A 15,476-nucleotide genomic window follows, 5' to 3' on the forward strand; every position below is an offset into this window, starting at 1 on the left:
CACAAATTTGGCACCTGTTGGCTGTCAGGACTGTTGTGGCAGGAGAAATGGTGGAGAGGCTAAGCATAGATGCTCTGTTTAATTACCCTTATTCTGCTGGCATGGTCTGGGGATGATCTGGGGATTAAATTTGTGCTGATTTCTTTACTCTCATTATCATGACAAATGGATTGTCATTTAGAAAAAAGTAGAATTTGTGAGGAATAAGCAAACAGAGTTTTTAGTTAGCAAAGAGATAGGAAACTCTAAACTCTTTATCCAGGATCTTAGTAAGCTCAAAAACAAAAAACAAACAAAGTTTTTATGGTATCAAGTTAAAAACTCTTTAATATCTCAAAATATCTTATCAGATTGAATTATATCCAATATCAATTTGATGGCTATATTCAACACATATTAAGAACCTACTGTGTACCAGGCATAGTTTTAAGTGCTAGTGATATATTGGTAAGCAAAGACCTTGCTCTCATGGAGCTGTGGTCTGGTGGGAGAGACAGATAACAAAAACAAACACGTATATAAATCTGTGAGAAGTGTTATAAAGAAAATTGAGCAGGGTTATGAGAATAAAGCTACAGAATGGGGGATATCTCACACAGGATGGTTAGCAATGGCTCTGCGGCTCCAGGCCCTGCCTACTCTCTCACTTTTCCTCAGTTTCTCCAGATGTCTCAAGCTCATTTATGCCTCAAGATCTTTGCAAATGTTTCTTGTCTGGATCCCCTTCCTCTTCCTGTCAACTTTTTCCCTAGTTACCTCTTACAATCCTTCAGAACTCAGATGCAAATCACTTTCTCAAGGCCTCAAGGAAGCCTTCTGTGGCCCTCCGGAACAGATCAAGTTCAGGTTCCTGCTTATTTACCCCACTGAGCTCCTTCATTGTACTGATCACATATATAATTATATGAGTATTGTTTAAGCCTTTGTCCCCTCCAGACTGTAAGCTCCATGAAAGCAAACACTGTGTCTCATTAACTTATTGTTGAGTCCTTAAAACTTTGTAGTTTGCGGAGTAGGTAACCAAAAATAATTGTCAAGTATCTGAATAATTTTCAATATCCCAGAATATTCAATTAAGTAAGTATGGAAGGCCCCTTTCAAAGCTTGCTTAGAAAACACCATGCTTAATCTTATAGGCCATCTAAGTAATTTTGGTAATTTTTAATGTAGCAAAATTACTCAAGTTGGCTTTATTTGGTTATGAATATCAGTACTAACTTATGATGTCACTATCCTTTCATTTCAACCACGTTCAGTATCCTAAGAGACATGCTGATTGAACTATAATTTAAAATGAATAATCTTTTATTTGTAAAAGATTGAGTCATAAATAGGCAGAATCAACCCATGCTTTTATTTTCATTGCATATAAAAATTTCATATGAAGGTATTGATGTACAGTACTATCCCCGTGGGCTGTAAGAGAGGCTAAGAAACCACTAAAAGAATAATCATTTGTAATTCTCACACACAATTTACCACTCTGAAAATATATCCAAAGAAATAAAAACAACTCAAATCAGTTAAGGATGTTTTTGTAATTATAGTGTCCCCTTTGTACTGTTTAAAACAAAAGTAATCAAATTCCTTTGGGCCAGGGCTGCTAAAATCTACAGTTTGTGTCAAAAAATAAAATAAAATAAAATAAAATAGGCTCATTTTTCCTAGAAAAAGAATCTTTCCTTTCACTGAAAAGCCACATGATTCAAGGGCTGGGCAAGTACTGGGAGGATGTTTCCATATAATCCATTATAAATGTTTCCTGCTTTAGGGGCTGGCCATTGTACAAGGTGAAATTTTAAAATTCTAAAGCAATGAAAGTTTTGCAGAAACAAATCTTAGAGGATAGTGAATGCTTTCTGCTATGTAAACTGACATCAACCCACCTTTGCGTTTAAATAGATGGGTTTACATATATGTAAGGACATTTGGTTTATCTTAGTGGAAGAAAAATTTTAGGATTAAAAAACAGTATTTTCTCTTTAATGTATTCTCTTAACATGTCAGGAAGCTGATGAATAGATAACCAACACGAGTAAACTCTGGCTCCAATTTCAAATCAAGTCCATTTTCCTATGAGCTCTAGAAGCCAAAAGGACTTAAAAAAAAGAAAAAGATTGTTTATAATCACTGGGAAAGAATATATTTCCCCAGTTGTGTTTCCGAGTTAAAAAAAAAAAAAAAGGAAATAATCAAATGCAAGTAGCTGAAGTAGTTCCTGATCAACAGATGGCAAACAACCATCACACATGCAGTGCTGCTCCCTGGCAAGAAGTACTTAAGAGCTTCTGTCTCAAAAGGGTCTCAGAATCTTTCAGAGGTTGTCTGTGGTTTTGTAAAATCCACCTATTGGCAGAATTCTAATCAATTAAAAGCCTGGATGTAAAATGCCCAGCCCTAGCTCCACTGTTACCTTTCAAATGCAGCAAAACAGAAGAAAATATTGGTTAAAGTTAAGGCACAGCCCTGGGACCAAAGACCTGCAGCTATGTTTTTTTAAATTTATATATCTTTAAGTATTTTATAGTTTTCTTGAATCTTCCATAAACAAGCTCTAAGGTGACAAGACTATATTACAGGAGAAAAGAAAAATGTACAGAGTATGTATACACACCATTCATTCTCTCACCAAGAGTTTCCAAATATATCAACACCATCCCATCATGGGATGATGTTTTAATAAGAACAGATAATTTACAATTAACATTACAGTATGTACATTGCAATAAATACATGGTTGTAAACAGACAAACAAGACTGTATTACAGGTAAGGTCATTTGGTGAGAAAAAAAATGCATGGCACAAAAAATAAATAATGCATTCAAAAATTATCATAAAGCTTTCTGTAAAATCCATTTCATTCAAGTTTTTTCTTTCCTTGTCTGTAATTTGTTCTATCTACATTATTGTGAATTTTAACTGATATAAAACAAAATTAAAACAGCATTATTGTGTTCAGTAACTTGCAAGCTGAAATGCACTGGTTTTACACAAACTTGGACATTTTTTTCCCCATACAGTACCCAGATATTGCATTTTCTTATGGCATTTTAGGAAATGTAAAGCCACTTGTAAAAGGATATTCTTTTATTCTTTTTTAAAGCAGTATATATTTCTGAAGCACACTTTGGCAAGAGAGAAGGGCAAGGATAAGCAGATTGTACAGTGCATTAGTCCCTGTCTCTTGGATATTGAGCCTTTTCTGCAATTTGATTGTCCATTAGTGGGTATCTTTACAACACGGTACCATTAAAAACCAACAAACTGGAAGAAAAAAAAAGAGCCTCTCTTTATTAGTGCAGTTATAAACCCTTTACCCTTTCAGGTCTGGATTTGTTAATGACATATTGCTGCTTTTTATTTTATTCATTATTAAGATTCTAGGCACTCTGTGGGGGAAATACTAAGTGTAGGGAGGAGAGGAATGAGAATGTTTTGGAAAGAGGAATAAACTCTAGACTCTTTACCTTTCTTTCTAGACTTCACTCAGGGACAAATAAAATTAAAAGAAACAAGTTCCCAAATATTCTTGTGAAACTACTTGGTCAAACATACGTCTTTATTTTTTTCTTATTTGAAAGATTACCATCTGATCTTTACAGAGGAAACAGAGTAGAAACCTTGCAATTAACTAGTTGATTCCTCTTCTGCTTTATGTAAAAGATCAGAGTTATAAAGACATAATTTTTATTTCAAAGGATCTAAGCATCAGCTAGATCTCAGGGGACTGAAATGGGGACTCTCTTCAGCATGAGTCATTTGCCTGGCTGATGACTTACTTTCCAGTCCCCAGGAGGCTCCTTGAGAAGTTCCACATATAAATGCTTTTCAGAGTTGTAATTCTTCTTAAACGTTTGATTTTCCACTTGTCAGATACCCACTTTGGCTTCTATCTATCTCAATTCTTGAATATCAATGTGAAAAATGATTATTTGGGCTTTAAAGTCTTCATAGAGAAGGTAAAGAAGACTTTATTAAGGCTGACGTGGGGATAAAGTCAGAATTAAATGCCCCATGATGCCAACTGCTATAATCAGGTAAACACTAGGAATTAATCTCTAAAACTGTAATACAGTTCCTGGTGCTGAAATCAGCCAAGAGTGATCTCTAATTTTTTATTTAACCAGAATTTTTACCAATATAATAAATATTTTAGGATGCATCACAGTACTAACCCTCTGGTGCCAGTGGCATCATCTTCTTTCCCTCCATGTGTTTAAAGAAGTAGTTCCCCTCTGCAAGATATGCTTATGGATCGAGGATAAGTGATAAAGGACTTCCTACACGTTATGTGGCTGTCCATTAAGGAAGAGTAGTTGCTACACTTAAAACCGTTTCTCAGGGATGTTCCTGATATAGTTCTTAATCCCATGGTGAAATCATTAAAACCAAATAGGATTAGTTGTATTGGTGTTTGTTAATATATTGTTAATATTCTTAAAAACTGCCTAGTTGGCTGTTTAACTTTTCTCTGTAAACCAAGAGTAAAAGCTAGTCATGATATACAACCTCGTGGTTGAAATGAATGTTAACCCTAACTTAACTACCTGTTTCTTTTCACCGGTGACAATGGTAGTGATATATTTGACAAGACCTCATCTAGCAAACATGGATAAGGTTCAGACACACGCTAAATTATAAAGCAGCACAAGGGGAAAAACCTTTTTCTTACTATAACTGGCTGTAAAAACAATAAAAATGAGCATGAAATGTGTGGATTATTAGAGCATGAAATGTGTGGATTATTAGAAAGACATGCACTTGTGAAATGAACATCTAGTGACACAGCAAAACGTTATTAGGAGATACTAAGTAGGAAAACATCTAAAAAAGACTGACCATTTTAGCTACTGGGTATTTATATATCTCCCACTTGCTTCAGACAACACGAACTGATGACTGAGTTTGCATGAAGCTTAAGACACATTTGATATAACACACATAAAAGTATTATAGAACAAATAGTCACTTTGCACATGAAGAAAAACACTGGTGAAGAGCAACTCTGCTTATCTGGAAAGAGTGAAACAAAATGCAAAGTAAATAATAAAGACTTACAAAAAGGGTTTCCTGCAACATAAAGTTGTTTTTCTCTTTTAAAATATGGAAGTCATTGGTATATAAAACAAACAATGAATCACTACAAATCAGTTAATTGCTATGAACTATAAGGTGCAAGTAAAATTCATAAATTAGATTTTTATCCAGTGTAGCACAGATTTGTACTGAAAACTTGCAAGTTACTCCTTAGAAAAAAATAACCAGTGGCAGATGAAGTTCTGAACATAGTTTTTTTTAAATATAATACCTCAATACATTTAATAATAAAAGTAAGCTCTACAAAAAATCTGTTTTACATATCATACAAAATGTAGAGGTCAGTGCAGCTCACTGAACCACACTATTCAGTCATGTATCAGGAAGACTTGAAATTAGAAAATTATGCAATTTCTGTGGCTCATCCTCCTCCTACTGGTAACAGATTCGTGCTATGTCCTGTTCTTGACATATTTGTTGCTTCGTCCATTAAGTTCACTCTGTGCAATGCCTTTCTTCTGAAAATATTGCAAACAAATAAAAAGGAATAGAAACCCCAAGTCCAATAAACTTTTGGGCTGCCTGATGAGTCACACTCTCTTGAAAATAATTTGGAGTAGATTTTATCTGCTTTGTCAGCTCTACCAAGCTGAAATCTTGTTAAAAACGCTGTTCGTGAAGATGTCCACCTTGCTCGGATGACATGGAGGTGAAAAAACTGGTTACGATATTCCTGAGCGCTGGACTGAGTAGTCAAGGTCAGTTTTGTTCAACAAACGTCCTGGCAGATGACAGTGAGGTGTGACCGTGGTTGTGGCATGTGACATGCACTTTGGAAACAATTTTTCTACTTAAAAAAAAAAAAGGCATGAAAGTTTTTGCACTGTTACGTGTCAGGAGAACGATCATCTATGACACAGGCTTCAGGCTGGCTTTCCTCTTCTTCCCCTACTGCCTCCTCTTCAACCTGTTCATCAAGGGGAATTTCAGTAGACTCTGAGTCTTGAGTACAAAGAGTCTTGGAGTCACTGCAGCTAGTGTCTTCTTCCACTTGACTGCCACTGTCCTTTTCCGTGTCTGACTCACCATCTTCCTCTAAAGTTAGTTCAAACTGGAATTTCTCAGTTTGACCCTGCCGGCCCTCCTCTGGGTCATCAGGTGCAGGAGAGGGGCTCTGAGGGATTGTGCTCTGGTACCATTCACGATTGTCCTCCAAAGTGTCCAAAATATCCTGGGCGTCAGGGTGGACGAGGTCTGCCCATGTCTCCCAGAGGGGATGAACAATATAGTCTATGAAGCCCACCTAGTTAAGAAAAAAATCCAGTATGAGTAGAGGACTTGGGACTAAGAAACAATGGAAAAGCTTAATTAGATCATGGCCCACAAATAAAACACTGAACAGAAGACTACTAAACTTAGTTTGGTAAAATTGTCACTATTTTCAACAACAACAGACCATTTAAAGTAAAGTATTGCTACTAGCTGGTCAAAATTAGCTTCTAGAACCTTTGGTTAAAGAGCATGTTCTATAGCATAAAAAATTTTCCAGTTGTTGACATGGTAGGGCTTATTTTACAATCACCAATTTGTAGGTGAATCCAGATAACTGAAATAATGCCATGTGCTCTATGTATATGAATATATTAAATGAATATAGTCATAATAAATGAATATGTCTTTAGAATATATATATGACTATATGAATGTAAGTCATAAGAATGAAAGTTCTTTGGATCATAAATACTAAGGTGAAATTGAGCTTGTCAAAAACAAAGTAATTTTAAAAATCCAGTAAAATACTATCATATGTAATACAAAGTAACCAAATGCTAAAGCGGTAGCTCTGTTCTCTCTGAAAGCTATACACTTCATGCATTACCTGTGATTTTTCCACGGAAGCATTGTGCTTGTCACACATGGGGCTTATCTCCATGCCACGTTCCCTCTCTCGGTCTCCTTGGCGGAAGAACTCCTCCATTATCCGGTCCGTCCACTGGCGGTACAGCTGGAGAGGCTTTGTTGGGTTGCTCAGATCTGCACAGTGCACCATATTCTGAAGAACCTAAAATAGATGGATGCATTCTCTATTCACTCCTGTTCCTTTTTTTTAAAAAAAAAAACAAAAAAAACTAGAAATTCACATTGGATGACTGCAACACTTAAAAATACACGTAGTGTAAGATTTATTCCAAACAGCTCAACCATGATGTGTCTGTGTATAGTTCACACTTGTATTAATAGTTCCAAATTATGCCACTTCTACTGCATCTAAATAGCTTAAGAGAAACTGTTTATGTGCATGGCTGACTAGATTCAGAGCTGCTTAAGTGGCTGGTTCTGTGGGGTGTTTGTTTGTTAGTTTTTTTAATTAATGTAGATGCAAACAGAAAGACCAGTAGAATTTTACCTGGTTAATTCTCAGGAATAAAAATTTGGATAAAAATCCTGCCTACAATTGCTGAAAGTATAAGGTGGGAGAAGGAAGAAATACATCTTATCAAAGCTGAACACGCAGACATGTGCACATGTGCACAGACACACACACACAGAGCAAACTCAAACAAGGCTTTACCTGAATCCTATCGGAATAATTATCAAGAAGAAGAACTCCAGAGCTTGTCACTTTCTTAGTTTCAACCATAGTCTTCAAATCAGCCAGTAGATTCATGTGTTTTGACATATCTGTTGCAAGTACCTTAAAATATAGAGTATATTATTAAGTTCAGAGAAAACAGAATTTACACATGAAAATATTACGCAGAATATAAGAATGAAAAAGGAATAAAACAACACTATGCCTTTTAATGACAGTGGAAAATCCTTACTACTCCTTGGGGGCAGAGTCTTTTCCCCTTTGCTATCAAGTTTTCCCAAAGCCCAGATAAATGTGTGTAATATACAGAAATGCTAGGCACTGACAACCACTTTCATGGTGAAAAATGGGTGACATCTCCATGGATAAGACATCATCACAAGTTTATAAGTTTTTGAAAGCTAGAGATTTTCCTGTGTCTCATAATCACTGAATAAGATGCATAGAAAAAAGAGTAAAGTCATGGATGTCTAAATGGCACTGTCTACTGATGAGAAAAGGTGGGGAAAAAATCCATTTGAGCTGTGGCCCACACAATCTGCTTTTGTTAGTCATTTTTCTCTGCCCGCCACCAGACTGGAGGGGCCCAGAAAATAAATGATGAGGGTGAGCTGACATTATTCTCAAGTCCAAACTGCTAGAAGTGAAAAACCTATTACAGAACATCACAGCCAGCATCACGGGCAGCTTCTATAACATAAAGGGCCATAATATGTTTTGAAATGCAGTTCCTTTTACCTAATACTCATCTTGTTCTTATGTCTAAATTATAAACAACTTGCATCACAGTTCTCTTCTTTGGCTTTTATCAGCTACTTACGATGTCAATGACCATTTTCCTTAAAGATTGTCTTTGTTTTTTGGTCAAATTCTGGAAAATGTCACAGTTTTCTTCCTGAAGCAATTTAAAGCCCACAGCCAAATGATGGTTCTCTAAGACTGAGGAATCATTGTACATCAAGGCAAGTTCAGAGTCTGTAAAAAAGACAAAAGGCCAAAGATCAGCAAAACTGTTTGTGAGAAGTTTATCTGATTCTTAAAATTCTGGATTTAGGATGTAATTTCCCCTAAACTTCTCTGCTGCCCTTATCATTACCTGACAATATCCAGGAGAGAATAAATCAGATAACATAAGAGCAGGAACAACACTGGAATGAATCTTGGGGAGTGAATTCTAATGCTACTAACATGTGGCAGGTCATTTCACTCTGTAGGTCTCAGCTTTCTCTAAAGTGAAAGAATTGGATCTTTAACCTCTCCTCTAGAGTTGCCATGAGCTCAGCAGAATATGACATTATTCTTAGTATCTATAACACATCCAGAGCATAAGGTTTTGTATTCCTGATAACTGTGAATTACCTACCCTGCACTATATAAAGTGAGGATCCTGTGTTACAGGATTGTTTGTACTCAAAGAGGGTACAAGAACAATAAGGAATCATATGAACAAGTTTAGATTTGCTCATTTGCTCATGTATAGCTCTGAAAGTCCAAGCTTTATTCATTGTTTTCCATTTTCTTTTCCAAGTATCGTGGCAGTCATTGTATACTGTACAGGGATATTGCTCTTCCTGCCTGCTTGCTCACAGCTTCACAGTGATGTTGTGTTTGGCTGTCTGTATACCCTCTGGTGAAGATTCTGCCACTCTCTCCCTACTGCCCTAGACCTGTGAATTTTAGGCAGGGAGAGATTCTGCCTCTCTCCTACTTCTTGTAAATAGCAGACCCAGAGCTACAAGATAATCATTAAAAAACTTTTGATGCTTTATTCTCTTTCCACTTAATCACTGTAAAGACTAAAAGCAAATCCGAGGCAGGAGGATTGCTTAAGCCCAGGAGTTCAAGACCAGCCTGGTCAACATAGGGAGACCTCATCTCGACAAATAATAAAAAATTATCTGGGGATGGTAGGGCGTGCCTGTAGTCCCAGCTACTTGGGATGCTGAGGTAGGAGGATTGCTTGAGCCCAGGAGTTCAAGGCTGCAGTGAGCCATTATATCGTGCCACTGCACTCCAAACTAGGCAACAGAGCAAGACTCTGTTTCAAAAAGAAAAGAAAAGAAAAGAAAAAGGTTAAAAGCACAGGTATTTGATCTTTTTTCTAACGAATGCATAGAAAATATATAACGAATGCATAGAAAATATATTTGGAAATATATATCTTTTTTTAAGAAAGAAATACCCAATACTATTCAATGGCTATTTTAATGGAGCTAGGAAGGAGAGGAGAGGCTTAAGACATTTTCAACTGAGAAATTCTATTATTTTATCGGAACTATAGAAATACAAATTTGCACACTTAAATTTCTGCTCCCAAACTACAGGAGCAGAGCTGTTTAGACTAGTAGGGAGTAGGTTTGTACAGTATTTTTTTGTTATTTTTTGTTTTCTTTAGATAAAACAATAGTGTTTATCTTTTAAAAGGCAGTTTCTGGTGAACTTTTATAGTGTCTATAAATGCCTTTATGAACCTTTATCTACAGATAGGTAAGCATATAGAAATGAAAAATTTAAAACTATATAGGTTCTTAGCACATATTATTGTATTTCTACAGTGGAATCAAATAAACAAACATATATTGAAAGGAAGGCATAATTATTAGATACTGGATAATTATTAGAGTTCGTTTAAGGAAGGAAATATGCATGTAGACAAGCAGTGTTAACAGAATTGACTTAGCCTTACAAAAACCCTAATTGGCTTATATGAAGCTGAAGGTGAAGGAAATTAAGGCTGTTGACCCTGCAAAAGAATAAGATGATGAGCTCTTCCTTCAAGGAAAAGGGTGATCTGTTGTATGGAAGGTGCAACAAAGAGTCTGAGTTCTACTGGATATAAGTAGGGCCTTTCATGTAGGGCAGATGTCCAAGAATACTGGCAAGGCCTGTCTTGGAGAGTGGTTATCTCCTGACACTTAAAGAGTCCAGATTGGCTAGAAAAGCCAGGAAAGGATGCCTTAGTGGACTGGCAGGCCTCCATAGCCTCTTCCATCTCAGATGCTGTTACAGGAAAGTGGTGGTGACTGTTGATTTTTAAATGAACAAATGTTAGCATTTAAGAAACTGAATCTCAAGGAAGTTATTTAACTTTCTACTCTTCTTTAGGACTGAAGGCATATGGTCACATTTAAATTGGGAGGTAGGAGTCTGCAGCTCCTCAGCAGATTTTCATCAAAGACACTAATCCATTACTTGTAAGTAGAGTCCTTGAAGGTTCAGGAATGATCAGAAAGTTGCTGTCAGGATGGTACAGTGCACAGCACAGAGGGGCAAAGAGGTTAGCTTATATAACATTTTTGTTGAAACCCTTTCATCTTCAAGCCCAATATAAGTTACCTCTTCCATCAAGTCTTTCTTAATTACCAGATGAAACTGCCCACTTTCTCCTGTAAACTTCTATACTACTTTGTACCACCCATTTAGCATGTATCGCATTCTACCTTTTTTGTCTTTATCTCTACAAATCTTTTAATCGTTCCTCCCCAAACCCTCCCAACCTACTTAGAGACTTAAGCCCCTACAAAATATTAAAGGTTATTAATTTAATATGTTTGGTTATCTGGCTTCCCCTAGGCACTTCAATTATTTCAAACTTACAAAGTACAAACAGGAATACAGCAAGGCACAACATTTAGAGGATTTAGGTGCCATTGTGTTAAATGGTTTATGTGAATCATCTCATTTAATCCTCATAACTCTTTTAGGAAGATACTGTTGTTATCGACATTTTAAGGCTATGTTCCATTCATGGATGGCATGGAGCCATATAGGTGGGAAGTAAGTCTTTGTGTCCTTGGGATAGGCTGGGGGATAGAAAATGTCCCTTGGGGACATCTTTTATACACATAAATATTTACATAGACATACTCATATAATCCTGTACAAATGAAGAAAATGTACCTCAGAGAAGGTAGGTAACTTTGCCAACATCACCTAGCCAGTAAGTGCTGGGGCCAGCACTTAAAACCAGGCAGTTTCTAGAGCCCTCACCTTATACTGACTATGATTACAAGTACCTTATAGAGGTGAAAACCTGAGCAGTGAACACTAAACATGAACCAGGAAATCAACACAGTCCACTCAGTGCCTGGCACACATTTATAAAGACAACTTTGTAAGTATTTATTTTTTATTGAGAGGCCATGCATACCTTTACAAACTCAAAGCCATCATTTTATTATATATAGATCAATTGTGCTCATTTGTTACAACTACCCTGGATCATCAAGAATAAATTAAATTATGCCCAACATATGCTACTACTGAAGGCAGGAAGACCACTTTTGTGTCCCTCTCTTCTGAGTGCTAATGAAATGGGGGGAAGGGTGGGCAGGTACTACCACATAACTGAGAACATGTACTTCATCTGTGCTAATCTTTTCTCTCTCTGTATTAATCATGGTTCTCCAGAGAAATAGAATAGACATATGTATGAGTGTGTGTGTGTATGTGAGAAAAAGACACATTTATTTATTATAGGAATTGGCTCAGGCAATTATGGAGTCCAAGAAGTCCCATGTCTGCAAAGGTGAACCAGGAAAGCAAGTCCAAAGGCCAGAGAATCAACCAGGAACCCTGATGTTAGAGGCAGGAGAATATGTATGTCCAGGCTCCGAGAAAGCAAATTGCCCTTCCCCCAATGTTTTGTTCTTCTCTTTGAGGTCCTCAATGGATTGACTGATCCCTGCCAACAATGGTAAGGGCAATCTTCTTTAATCAGTCTACCAATTCAAATGCTAATCTAATCTCTTCCAGGAACACTCTCACAGACGCACCCCAAAATAGTGTTTTACCAGCTATCTGGGCATCCCTTAGCCTAGTCAAGCTGACACATAAAATTAACCATTACAAATTCTGCCCCTTGTCACCCTGGTACCCATAAGCATCTCCTTTAACCATATTTAATCTCCATAAGGCCATAATTCTACCAAACAGGCTACAACTATCCTGCATACAACTAAAAGCACACTAACACATTCCCCAGAAGTGAAAGTAAAGTTTTTGAGTAATGTTTACTCTTATCCTGATAGCCTATAACTTAAATACTATGATATAAAATAAATACTTAAATACTAATATAAAGTTAATACCTCTTATGTTATATAAGGGAATAAGAAAAAGAAAATGAAGATAAGTTAATACCTCTTATGTTATATAAGGGAATAAGAAAAAGAAAATGAAGATATATGCTTAATATATGTATATATACATATAAATGCATTCATAAGAAAATACTCATGACAATTATAGTCCTTATTTCTATAACTGGTCATATGGTCATAGCTGGTATTTGTAATTACCTTCTTTTACTACTCATTCTGTATTCCCTTTTCCCTCAGCAAGCACCTCAGCTGGTCATGATTCTTTACCTGGTGGGGTGACCGAAACCTTCATTCGTGAAGGGTATGGGTTATTAGTGGTCCTGCCTGGATTGGGTTATTTTGTGCTGACCTTAATTACAGGGCATGGTTAATACTAAGGGATGCCCTAAGGGATCTCCTTATTCCACACATACTCTTCCTTACCTTCATTGTGGAGTAGTAACCCAATTTCCCCTTGGTAGTCAGGATCAGTCACCCCAGTCAACACTGTAATGCCCTTCTTGGATGATTGAATCAGATGCATAAGGAGCTCAAAGTGGCTAGGTCTTAACTTCCAGTTCAACGGAATCACTGTTGTGTCTCCTGATAGAAGCATTCCTCCTTCTGAAACTAAGACCTCTAGCTAGCAGCACATAAATTTGCAGGAACAGGAAGCAAACTTTGCTAGTGGGTCACTGGGGGTAATTATGAGTCGTAACAGTCCCATTTCTATCCAATGATTCCTGGACCCATGAATTCTGGTTATGCGAGAAATAGCACCACATATTGGATGCTGATTCAGAGCATATATGGCCTTTATGGCCTTCTGGAGAACCTTGCCCCAGCCCTGCAAGGTCTTGCCTCCTAGCTGAGTAACTGAGTCTTCAAAAGGCCATTCTACCAATTTATCAAGCCAGCTGATTCAGGATGTTAGGGAATATGGTAAGACTAGGGACTTCCATGGGCATGAGCCCAGTGCAGCTCTTCTTTGCCAGTAAGGTGAGTTCCTGGTTAGAGGCAATGCTGTATGGAATACCATAGTTTTGGCAGAAAAACTGCAGGGAAGGCACATCTGTTTCCAGAGAAAGTGCCTTTTCCACTAAGGACAAAATGCTACCCTTTCCACCATGGAAGTGGTCCAATGTAATCAACCAGCCATCAGGTAGCTGGCTGATCCCCCCAAAATGGTGTTATATGGGGGTTCAGTGTTGGTTTATGCTGCTGGTGGATTGCGCACTTAGCAATAGTCATAGCCAGGTCAGCCTTGGTGAGTGGAAGTCCATGTTTCTAAGCACATCCTGCCACCTCCATCCCTGCCACCATGGCCACTTTGTTCTTAGCATGTTGGGTGATGACAGGGGTGGCTAGGGAACCAAGTTGACTAGTATCTACAGAATGGGTCATCCTATTCACTTGGTTATTAAAATCCTCCTCTGCCAAGGTCACACTTTGGTGAGCATTCCTTTTTTGTCCATTCAGAGAGATCATTCACATATCTCTTCCCCAAATTTCTTTCTCACCAGTTTTCCAATCATATTCCTTCTAAGTCCCTCACTATCCAGACAAATCATTGGCTACGGCCCATGAACTGGTATATAATTGCACATATGGCCATTCCCTCTTCCAAGCAAAGTGAACAACGAGTCACCTTGCCTAAAGTTCTTCCCACTGGAAAGACTCCCCTTCACCACCATCCTTCAGAGATGTCCCAGAGAGGGGCAGTAGTGCTGCAGCTGTATACTTCCGGTGGTACCTGCGTATCACGCAGAACCATCCGTAAACCAGGCCCTCTGTCAACTACTTGCAGGGAACTTTCCATGCGACCACATGTGTAGGCTGGGAGAAAGAAGGCAGTGTAATTAATAGGAGTGGCATTAGGGCCACTTCTTTATGTAATTTGTGCCTTTAGTGTCTGCTCGGACCTGATAGATCGTGTATTACACTACTTTTATTTGATGATGAAATGTCGTACATGCCCAACATATGGCTTGGCGCGTTAGATAATACCCTATTAATGATGGGCAGACAGCTTAAACCACATGGAAACTTGGTGGCCCATAGTCAGTCAGTATCTCCTAAGGCCCAGCAGCAGGCCTATATCTTTCTTTCAAAAGGAGAGTAGTTAGTTATCTTTCTTTGGATGATGGCAGGGTCTTGCTCCAGAGTCTGTGCTGTGATTCACACAGAGGGCTCTGTCAAAGGCTCCAAACAACATTCCTATCTGCCACTGACATTTCAAGCACCATTAAATCTGCTGGATCATGTGGCCCATGTGCAGAGCAGCTTGCACAGCAGGCTGGACCTGTTGTAGAGCCCCACTCAAAACTAGCAGTTTTTGTGACACTCTCTTGTTCTGTGCCCCATCTAAACTAGCAGCTTTTCAGATCACTTAGTAAATGGGCCAGAGTAACACACACAAAGAAGGAATACATTGCCTCCCAAATCCAACTAAGTCCACTAGGTATTGTGCCTTTTTGTGTCTTATGATGGAGTCCACATGGCAGATCAGAGCCAATATTAAGACCTGGAGCTGAAACAGTTAAGACTGGGGCAGACACTATAGATATGTATCCTGTAAGTAAGACTTACACTCACTGTTCTTACAGCTTTACTAGGCTTAGCCTTGAGTTAGTTAGAAAATGACAGCATGCTACACCATGTCTCTAAGTTACAACTGAAATAAACATAAATCTTCAAAAGGACTTCAGAAACAAACATTTCTCCATGAAATGACAGAGGGAAGTGGTGGTTTTAACTTAATATT

At 37.8% G+C, this 15,476-nt stretch overlaps 1 protein-coding gene across 28 annotated transcripts in view, besides 1 other annotated feature; it reads right to left on the reverse strand.

The window, feature by feature from the left end:
• PDE4D (phosphodiesterase 4D) overlaps window positions 299-15,476 on the reverse strand; it is a 1,553,091-nt gene continuing 1,537,913 nt past the window's right edge. For all 28 annotated transcript variants that reach the window (XM_024446112.2, XM_024446110.2, NM_001364599.1 and 25 more), the window contains 4 exons: window positions 8,452-8,606; window positions 7,611-7,733; window positions 6,918-7,100; window positions 299-6,341 (listed from right to left, as the gene is read on the reverse strand). In XM_024446112.2, the coding sequence (XP_024301880.1) occupies window positions 5,925-6,341; window positions 6,918-7,100; window positions 7,611-7,733; window positions 8,452-8,606 (878 nt within the window). In that variant the 3' untranslated portion in view covers window positions 299-5,924. The remainder of the gene's footprint in view (window positions 6,342-6,917; window positions 7,101-7,610; window positions 7,734-8,451; window positions 8,607-15,476) is intronic.
• Window positions 12,033-12,617: an enhancer, noted in NCBI's record as "OCT4-NANOG hESC enhancer chr5:58276599-58277183 (GRCh37/hg19 assembly coordinates)". NCBI's record gives its function as "activates a minimal SCP1, AML or CMV promoter by ChIP-STARR-seq in primed H9 embryonic stem cells {active_cell/tissue: H9 hESC(primed)}" and the evidence as "EXISTENCE:reporter gene assay evidence [ECO:0000049][PMID:30033119]".

This window comes from Homo sapiens, chromosome 5 (genome assembly GCF_000001405.40).
Source record: "Homo sapiens chromosome 5, GRCh38.p14 Primary Assembly".
Lineage (NCBI taxonomy): Eukaryota > Metazoa > Chordata > Mammalia > Primates > Hominidae > Homo > Homo sapiens.